This window comes from Homo sapiens, chromosome 8 (assembly GCF_000001405.40).
Source record: "Homo sapiens chromosome 8, GRCh38.p14 Primary Assembly".
NCBI classification, from domain to species: Eukaryota; Metazoa; Chordata; class Mammalia; order Primates; family Hominidae; genus Homo; species Homo sapiens.
Window position 1 is genome coordinate 24,479,632 of NC_000008.11, and position 10,037 is coordinate 24,489,668.

A 10,037-nucleotide genomic window follows, 5' to 3' on the forward strand; every position below is an offset into this window, starting at 1 on the left:
GTGTGTGGGTCTGAGATCCCTGTGTCTGGATCTCCATAGGGCTCTGCATTCTCCTTCTCTCCCACACTTGGCCTGAAGCAGTTCATCAATGATATTTGGTCAGTTCTTTCTACCCATTAAAAAGGTGCTCAACATCTTTCTTTCTCATTATCTGCCACAAGGAAGGTGCTCTGGCACCATTTCTCCTTGAAGGAGACTGTCTTTTCTTAGGGTTCAGGCACACTTGTTGGCCCTATGGCCTCAGTTCTGTGGTGGATACAGAAAAAAATATATGATTTTCTAGATTCTCTGGCTTGTCCTTTTTGTCAGGATAGAGGCAACATTCTTTCTAACTTTGTACTTTGTAGGCAGAAGCAGAACTTCTCCCAACTGTTTCAATTTATGTCCGTGGAAATTGAAAATTTCCCCCATGCCTTTTTGTAAGAGGGAGGAAGGAACAGTGTGGAGTGCAATGATTACATCTCATAGTCACTTCTGTTTTCTGCCTTGCCTTGTATCTTGCAATTATGTCTTTTATCACTTCCCTAGCATTGACACCAAGTCAAGACTCAAACTCTCTCCTTGGTTTCTCATCTTCAAGTAAGCATACATACAAAATTGTTGCATATTGCTGAACTTTTACTGAAGATTTGTAGTTTAGATTGGGAGGTTACATAGCACATTATAAAACAAACAATTTAAGCTAACAAAGTCTAAAAGCCCGTGTGCCTGGCCATTGTATCCCTTCTTACTGGCCCTTTATCCTTCACAGAGCCCATACTCACGTTATTTCACTGGGTCCTTTCTTATTTTGACTTTTATTATGTCTTCACCCCTTTTAACTCAGAGATTCCATAGTTGTTTCCCTACTATAAAGAGCAGTTCAACTCTCCACAACATTCCAAATGTGTGTATCCAAAACTATCCAAGAATTTAGCAGATAAAGCATGGCTTTTATTTTATATGTTCTTATGAGAAGAAAATATCATCAGAAGGACAAATAATATTTCCGTTTGCACTTGTGTGTAGTTTTGTAAACGTAAAGCCCATTTGTGAATAGAGAGGGTCTGAAAATCCCACGTTAAAATAATTATTGCTATGTAGTACTTGATTTCTAAAGTTTACCATACATTAAGATTAGGGTCAAGATCCTGGTGTGGTGACTCATGCTTGTAATCCCAACACTTTGGAAGGTCAAGGCAGGAGAATCACTGAGCCCAGGAGTTCAAGACTAGACTGGGCAACAAACTGAGACATCGTCCCAACAACAACAACAACAACAAAAAGAAATAAATAAATAAAATAGCAAGGCACAGTGGTGTGTGCCTGTAGTTCCAACTACTCAGGAAGCTGAGGTGGGAGGATCCTTTGAGCGCAGGAGTTCAACTTTGCAATGAGCTATGATTGCACCACTGCACTCCAGGCTGGGTGACAGAATGAGACCCTGTCTCAAAAACAAACAAACAAACAAACAAACAAACAAACAATTCAGGGCCAAGAGGAATAAGGATGCATATCACAGGCTCCAGGGTAGATTTGAAGTCAGAGTTTGACTACATGTCTAACTTCGGGAGAGTTTAAAAGGCACCTAATTCCCATGATTATGAAATGACTTCTTTGGCCTCTACTGACACATGGAATTGAGTATATTCATATCATGTAGGTTAAGAAAAGTAGAATATTAACAGAAGTTTATTGTTATAGGAATGATATAATTATTACACTTCTTATTGACTAGTTACATTGCCTAGTAACATTGTATGAATGATCTTTCCATTTCTGTTCATTCAGTGTTGATAGTTTATCATTCACTTCCTTTCAACCTACTTGTACTGACTATTGTAGAATATAAAACTGATACAACACATAGTCCTTTCTCTCAAAATTCCCATAATAACTGCATAAACTCTAACTTCTTTTGTCCTGGCATAAAAGTACCTATCACCCAGGTGTTTACAGAGCAGGTAGAAATAGGTGTGAGGTTTATAGGCTACAACTATTTCTGCCTGCTTAGAGCAACCCCTAATGACATTTCTCAGATTAAATAAAAAGGTAGTTACAAAATTCAAACATAAAGATCAAACACAGCAGTTAAGTTTTTGAAAACCAATACCAACTTTCTAACCTGCCACAGAATGAACACTTGGCCTGAAGTATGAAGGTGCATAAGGAGCACTCACACCGCCTGCCACTGTTAGTAAATTTATGCTTTTAGGCCAGTTCTAAATTCAGAACTTTAATACATTCTTCCAGCACATCCTGAGACAGTGCCTGTAAGACTTATGATAGTTCGAGGAGGCAGATCTTTCTGATCAAATTTCACCATTGCCCAGAAAATTCACCAGGTATTCTGGGCAATGCATTCTGTCCCATTTTGATATATCTGTTTGCAACATGAGGCTTGCACTGTTTACTAATGTACCTCACAAGTTCAAATTATTGTTTTTTGGGGAAATGTAAAGGAATATAGTAATATTGAAGACTGTTTCCAGCAACTTGACTTTGTGAAAAATGATTTCTTCTTTGAACAGATTTATAAAACCTTAAACATCCATGTGACGTTGGTTGGCATTGAAATATGGACACATGAAGATAAAATAGAACTATATTCAAATATAGAAACTACCTTATTGCGTTTTTCATTTTGGCAAGAAAAGATCCTTAAAACACGGAAGGATTTTGATCATGTTGTATTACTCAGGTTGGTGATTGCTCTATTTTCTTGCATACCTTTGGTGGATTATTACAAAAGAAAACAAAAAAAAATTAACAGAAAAAAAACATTTTTTAAGCATTTGACTTTTGGGTAGCACACAGGGACAAAATGTTATTTGTAGCTACACAGAAAATTTCCAAGCAAGGAACCGTAGCATATATCTTTAATCCCAACATTTTAGGAGACCAAAGTAGAAGGATTGTTTTAGCCTAGGAGTTCAAGACCAGCCCCAGGCAACATAGCAAGACCCCATCTGTACAAAAAATTTAAAAATTAGCTGAGCATGGGGGCAAGCACCCATGGTCCCAGCTACTTGGGAAGCTGAGGCTGGAGGATCTCTTGAATCCAGGAGGTTAAGGATAACATGAGCTGTGGTTGTGCCACTGCACTCCAGCCTGAGTGACAGAATGAGACCCTGTCTCAATAAATAAATAAATAGAAAGTTTTCAAGTGGACTATTTAATAATCTTTCTTTCTAATATTAATACTAGAAAAGAAAAAATCTGATATATTCATATTCCTTGGTAGACTTAAAAATGCCATTAGGTAAGCAAAGTGCTTTTAGAATCCATGTTACATTTTTTATCAGCATCCAGTGCTAACTCCTCTCGCCCTCCCATGTTGTACCGTTCCAATATTCTTCCAAAATCTGCCTTTCTGGGAAAGCACCTCACTCTCTGAACATTTCCCCTCATCAAAATCTGCCTACCTGGTGGCCAGCCCTTCAATACCATCTTCTCTACTATACAATTGAACAAACAACTAATCTGATAAGTGAAACCTGTCAGAGCTTTAATATTCCTAAGTAAAAGCGTGACTTTGTCTAGACCACTCAATCTTTAATTTCTTTAAAAAGGGGACCATTTTTATCATTTTTGTTATTCAAGATACCTAGCGCAGTACTTAGCCCAGAGGAAAAGGATAAGTAATTATGGAACTGAATGTAATACAACCTAATATTTAGCACAGTCCTGTTATCCTAAAGAATGCTAAATTGTGGAAGAAGTCCTTTGGAGCGATGCCATCTTTTAGAATCTCTTCTGAAGCCCTTAAAGCTACTGTATTAAAATAGTGCTCACTCTTCCTACTTTATATACCCATAATATCGGTATTTCTCCTAAGGTCTGCAAACCCAGCGTGCTAATCTTCTATTATTATTTAGACGTTGACTTTCAGTCCGAACTCAAAAACCTGAAGCTTCCAATACCTGTAGTCAGAAGTCAGATTCAGTCCTTTGGCAGATTAATGAGAGTGCATCAGACCTCCAAAGTAACATAATTCCTGTTTTCTATATCTGGGATGGCCCATAGCATATATCGCCAGAGGCATAGTTGTGCCTGGCTTGTACTTGAATATTCATGCATTAGCATGCCCCAAAATCATGGGGAATGGAGCGTGGTAAAACATCGCCATAAACTTCAGAGTGGGCAAGATTAACTCCTTTGCCCTCTCTTTATACATGTATTTTTTAATACTTAATAAATAAAACCAAAAGTATTTGAATGGGTGTAAGTAGAAAACTTTTAACTACTTTAGAACACCTCCGATTCTAACCAGTAGCTTCTCATATCAATAGGATGTCTGCAAGTGAGGAGATGGGGTGAAATGCTACTAAATAGCCAATTGAGCATCATATTTGGGACTTCTTATGTGTTAAGTTTCTTGGGTACCTGCCCTTCTGTATTCACTTAGATGTAGAAGTGGCAAGACAGTATATATGGCATTATCATGTGTTACTTGATTTCATGCAACCATGAGAGGACACTCAAGATTATTCTTGTCCTGGCGCTTCCCCTCCATACATGTGGTTTTCTCAATACCCCCAGAGTTTAAAAAGACCAGAATTCTGTCTCTCCAAGAAGCATAGTCAAATACTGATGCCTAATATGTAGGAAGAGAAACATTTCAATAATAAAGAGAAAAATGGAGTGTATCTTAATCAAAAAAGGTAAAGACTGAAAGAGGTCATCTAATCTGACCACCTATCTTGTCTTTGAGTTCTATTACATTCCAGGTATGACCCTTTAGCCCCTAATGGCTCTTTTTAAAGTGGTTCAACTCTAAATAATATTCCTGAAATCAAATCAAATTTGGATTCCTATAATATAAATATCTACATTTGTCTTTTCAAGTAATCCAAGGAACAGTTCTCATTTTATCTGACAACTCATTTAAGTGTTTTATTATAGCTATCAAATCCTACCTGAGTTTCTATGGTTGATTAAAAGTCTTAACATTTTTCAATTGTAGCTAATCAATCATGGTGTTAAGTCCATTCATTGTGTTACTTTGTTTTTCCTTCTAAACACTTTTACATTTTACATTTCATTAATTTCTGGTCTTGTAAGTGGTTTTATCCAAAGCTGAGGGCAGAGTAGACTAAAGTAAAATGGGATTTCAATTGTATTTTTTGATTTGTATTTTTTTGTTTTTTGTTTTATACCTTTCTACAATTTCAGTGTAAGATTGCACTGGCTTTTTTTTTTTTTTTTTTTTTTAATTGAGGTGGAGCCTCGCTCTGTGTCCTGGAGAGCAGTAGCATGATCTCAGTTCACTGCAACCTCCGCCTCTCGGGTTCAGGTGATTCTCCTACCTCAGCCTCCCAAGTACCTGGGACTACAGGTGTGCACCACCATGCCCAGCTAATTTTTGTATTTTCAGTAGAGATGGGGTTTCACCACAATGGCCAGGATGGTCTCGATCTCTTGACCTCGTGATCCACCTGCCTCGGCCTCCCAAGTGCACTGGCTTTTTCAATGCCTCTAATATCCCACAGGTTAAAGATGAGCTCAATATCAACTAAGGTCAGCCTCAATTCCAAAACTCCAGAAATAAGAAGGCATTTTCACATGCAAAAGCATTGGCATTGCTGGGGTTCACTGCAATTTGATCTTTGTGTTAATTAAACTACTAACTCAGATTGAAGACTATTTTTGCATCTTTTTCATAGTGGGAAGTGGCTCTACTCACATGTGCAAGGAATTTCTTATCCAGGGGGTATGTGCCTGCCCTATTATTCCACCAGTATCATTAAGGTGGGCTGTGTTTTATTTATATTACTTAATAATGTTTGAATAAAATTGTTGTAATGTCCTGGGTTCCATGGAAAGAGACTATGTATGCATTTTGTCATATATACTCACTAAGATATGTCATGAACAGACTGTTATGCTTCCTTTATTAAATGAATAAAAATGTTTTATTGAAAAATTATAGATAAATATTGAAGGTAAACCCATTTTGTTTAGAGTTTAAACGGATAGTATACCACAGATCAGCATGCAATGATTAGTAAAGCTCTTTTGCATATGAAATATAGCTACTTATAAGGACAAATAATGCACATAAAGGTTGATGGCTCATTTAATAAGTGAGGATAATTGTTCTAGTGCTGATAATAAGGCACATAAACCACTTCCTATATCATATCAAGACAACCTTTCAATTCATTTTTAGAAAGCATAAGACCTAAAAACTGTTGACTCCCTTTTTTTTATGTGATCCTTTCCAAAGTCTCTAAGCTTCTAGTAAATGTTGTCCAAGTAACCCCATCTGAGAGATGCTTGAAAACACGAAGGTTTCTATTTATTTTCTTTATGTCGCGCCTAATTGTTGCTGTGCCTTGTCTGGTATTAAGATAAAAAATTTCAAAGCTAGTACTTATTTAAATGACCACATGACTTACTTATTATATAGTTATTTTGTGTGTATAGCTTTTCCTATGGTATTTCAGTAACATAAGTTTTGGATCATAGAGTCAATTTCATCTGATATATGCTGTTAGATTATTGCTACTCATACTATGATACACGCTACTTAGATTATGCTATTATAATCACTCCAGGACACATTTTAAACTTTATATGAGTAAGATGAGATGACCAAATTAGGTATGTTTTATTAGCTTTATAGTAATCTGATAGCCCACCTCTTTTTGGAAATTAATTCTGTATTAACATAGAAATTAAAGCATATAATGGAACTATGAGCCAAGTTAACCAATTCTTGCATGGATTTGATATATCTGACATTTAAGTTTTTCCCATAATAGAAACTTCGTCTTTAAGATTGTATAGCATTGTTGTGCAATGTGAGACTATAAGCTGAAAACAAGAACCTCATATTTTTATTTGTATAGAATTTGGATATCTAGTACAAAGAGGACAATCAATATTACTTATTATATTGTGTAGGATATTTATCTTAGCTCATTCTAGCTGCTGTAACAAAATATCACAAATGAATGGGTAAGAAACAATAGAAAGTTATTTCTCGGAGGCTAGGAAATCCAAGATTAAGTCCTTAGCAGATTCGGTGTCTGGTGAAGCCCTGTCTGGCTCACAGTTGACACCTTCTTGCTGTGTCCTGACCCGGTAGAAGGGGCATGGATCTCATTCAAACCTCTTTTATAAGGGCATTAATCCCACTTATGAGGGCTCTGCCCCCATGACTTACTCACCTTCCAAAGACTTCACCTCCTAGTGTCATCACCTTGAAGTTAGTTTTATACCTTCGACATATGAATTTTGAAGAGGTAAAAATCATAATAACATTAGTTCATAGTTTTTAACTATTTATAAGAATGAGCTTCTATAAATTGAACAATGACTATCACCATGCCACAAAGAAAGAATTTCAAATGTTAGAGCTAGAGATACTTAAAAAGTCACTTTCTTGGGTTTCTTATACAATTAAGGAAACTGAGGTACAGAGGAGAGAAGTAACTGAGTCCATGCCTTTTTAAATAGATACCAGTTAACTAGGAGCTAGAAGCCAGGTCTTTCAACCACTAGTTTGAAGCACTATGTACTACAGTATGCTAACTTTTGAAAATTTCTAATGCAATTGTTTTATCATCAGGATCTTTTACCTGACACAAACATAATTGCAAACAGAATGGCACATCAACTGGGGCATAACCTTGGGATGCAGCATGACGAGTTCCCATGCACCTGTCCTTCAGGAAAATGCGTGATGGACAGTGATGGAAGGTGAGATTCGAACAATGTACAGAATACACTTACATAATTCAGAAGTGGGCTGGGCATGGTGGCTTATGCCTGTAATCCCAGCACTTTGGGAGGCCGAGGCAGGTGGATCACCTGAGGTCAGGAGTTCGAGACCAGCCTGGCCAACATGGAGAAACCCCATCTCTACTAAAAATACAAAATTAGCCAGGCTGGTGGCACATGCGTGTAATCCCAGCTACTTGGGAGGAGAATTGCTTGAATTCGGGAGGCGGAGGTTGCCGTGAGCCGAGATCATGCCACTGCACTCTAGCCTGGGCAACAAGAGCAAAACTCCATCTCAAAAAAAAAAAGAAAAAAAAAGAAAAGAAAAAAATATGTTTCAAAAGTGGATTTTGAGTCAAAATCCATTATTGTAGGATATGTTGTAAAGCTATGGAATTTCCTAAAAAGTCTATTCCATAACTAGGCGTGGCAGTTTTCTTTCTGGGGCTAAATCTTGCCAACTGGTAGTGTCTCTCTCTAGTGATACCGTGAGAGAAATCCCAAAACTTTCTGGGTACACTGCAAAAGTACACCATGAACAATTAGTACCAATTGCTACCAAGGCAATTAGGGGACAAATAGACTCTACATGCCTTGTTTTGTCATCTTTTCTATAAGCTATAATGTCTTCCTTCACATCTTTACTCAAATGTTATTCCCACCGATGTTTTCCCTGGCCACCTGATCTAGATCATACATACATCCTGGCATTTCAACTCCCACTCCATTTGTTTTTTGTCTTCTCTTTAGTACTTATTACTATCTAGCATATTCTCTGTTTCATGCATTCAGCTTATTTATAACTGTACTCTTCTGCTGGAATATAAGCTAGTCCCACAAGGTCAGAGGGTTTTGTCTTTTGGGGTCACTGTTATAACACCACTGTACTAGAAAAGTCCCAAACACATATTAAACACTCCATAAACAGTTACAGAATAAATGAATATCCAGCCTTCCCCATTGTACTGTGAATTACCAAGCAGTCAGGTCCTAAGTTTTGCACATCTTTGAATCCCTTCGGAGCAGGTATACATAAAGCATTGTATATAGTAAGAAAAGTTTCGTGGTGATCAATGCTTCCACACATTGATTAAATGGAGTAAAGTGACTAACACAACTAAATGTGATGGCTGGCACAGAATAAGAACACAGTAATTAATATTTAGTTTTACATTATTATTTACATAATTAGTAGTATTTTACAGAGTCCTAGTATCTCAGTCTAATGTGATCAAGACTCTAAAGACCTACTGTATTGAACTATTATGTCAATAATAATGTTAAGGAAGTCAGAAGAAAAGGAAGATGGAAGGGAGATAAATTTCAGGTTAAGAAGTATATTACATTCCTATGGATGTGTATATTATTAAATAAACTGTTTGTCTTAATAAATTTATAGAGAACCACTTTGTGCCAGGTACTGTGTTAACTAATGTTTATTTTTTTAAAATCACACATGATACAATTATTGCTTTGAGATGCTTGTAATCTAGTAGGGATGATAAACAAATACATAGGTTATTTCAAGAGGACCAAATTAAAGAGGATGTGGAAGCAGTAAACACAGACAACCAGTCTGTAAGGTGGGCTTCAGGAAGGATTTGCTGGAGGATCTATAACCAAGATATTTTCACTAACATAGCATGTGTTTGCTGTGTTTTGAAAAGATATTTTCTATAATAAAGGACCCAGTTACTTCCCTGCTCTAACAGTAAACATTTACATTTGTTCTTTTCAAATGCTTCATAAAATGCTCACAGCCACTGTACCACTATGCATTGATATGATTAATCTTTATTTTTACCTCATTCTATCTCTAGCATTCCTGCACTGAAATTCAGTAAATGCAGCCAAAACCAATACCACCAGTACTTGAAGGATTATAAGCCAACATGCATGCTCAACATTCCATTTCCTTACAATTTTCATGATTTCCAATTTTGTGGAAACAAGAAGTTGGATGAGGGTGAAGAGTGTGACTGTGGCCCTGCTCAGGTATTTGCAAATGAAGCTATCTTTAAATTGCAAAATTTATGATCAGGTAGAACCTAGGCAGGGATGTGGCCATTAATCAAACCAACCGTGGTGTTCCTTGTAAAACTTTTAAAAATTTTGCTTTCCATTTTTATTTTGATTTTATAAAACAAATTATTGGTGCAGCCTCATTCCAGGGCTTCTTATCAAGTCATGAAACATGTGTAATGACCTTGCTGGAGATCAGCAGCATCAGCTTTCCTTGTTAATATATAATTGGTTCTGCTTGTGACAAGGGCCCATAAGTGTCCTTAAGTCTGATGTCTCATGCAGAGTCAGAATCTGCTCTACAAAAT

The 10,037-nt window shown here is 36.8% G+C and overlaps 1 protein-coding gene and 1 long non-coding RNA gene across 2 annotated transcripts in view; one reads left to right on the forward strand and one right to left on the reverse strand.

The window, feature by feature from the left end:
* Positions 1-10,037, reverse strand: part of ADAM7-AS1 (ADAM7, ADAMDEC1 and ADAM28 antisense RNA 1) — a 252,805-nt gene that overhangs the window by 183,818 nt on the left and 58,950 nt on the right. The window lies entirely within an intron of this gene.
* Positions 1-10,037, forward strand: part of ADAM7 (ADAM metallopeptidase domain 7) — a 68,540-nt gene that overhangs the window by 38,606 nt on the left and 19,897 nt on the right. Inside the window, exons 9-12 of the mRNA NM_003817.4 lie at positions 2,511-2,680; positions 5,646-5,730; positions 7,556-7,686; positions 9,528-9,702. Coding sequence (NP_003808.2) covers positions 2,511-2,680; positions 5,646-5,730; positions 7,556-7,686; positions 9,528-9,702 — 561 coding nt within the window. The remainder of the gene's footprint in view (positions 1-2,510; positions 2,681-5,645; positions 5,731-7,555; positions 7,687-9,527; positions 9,703-10,037) is intronic.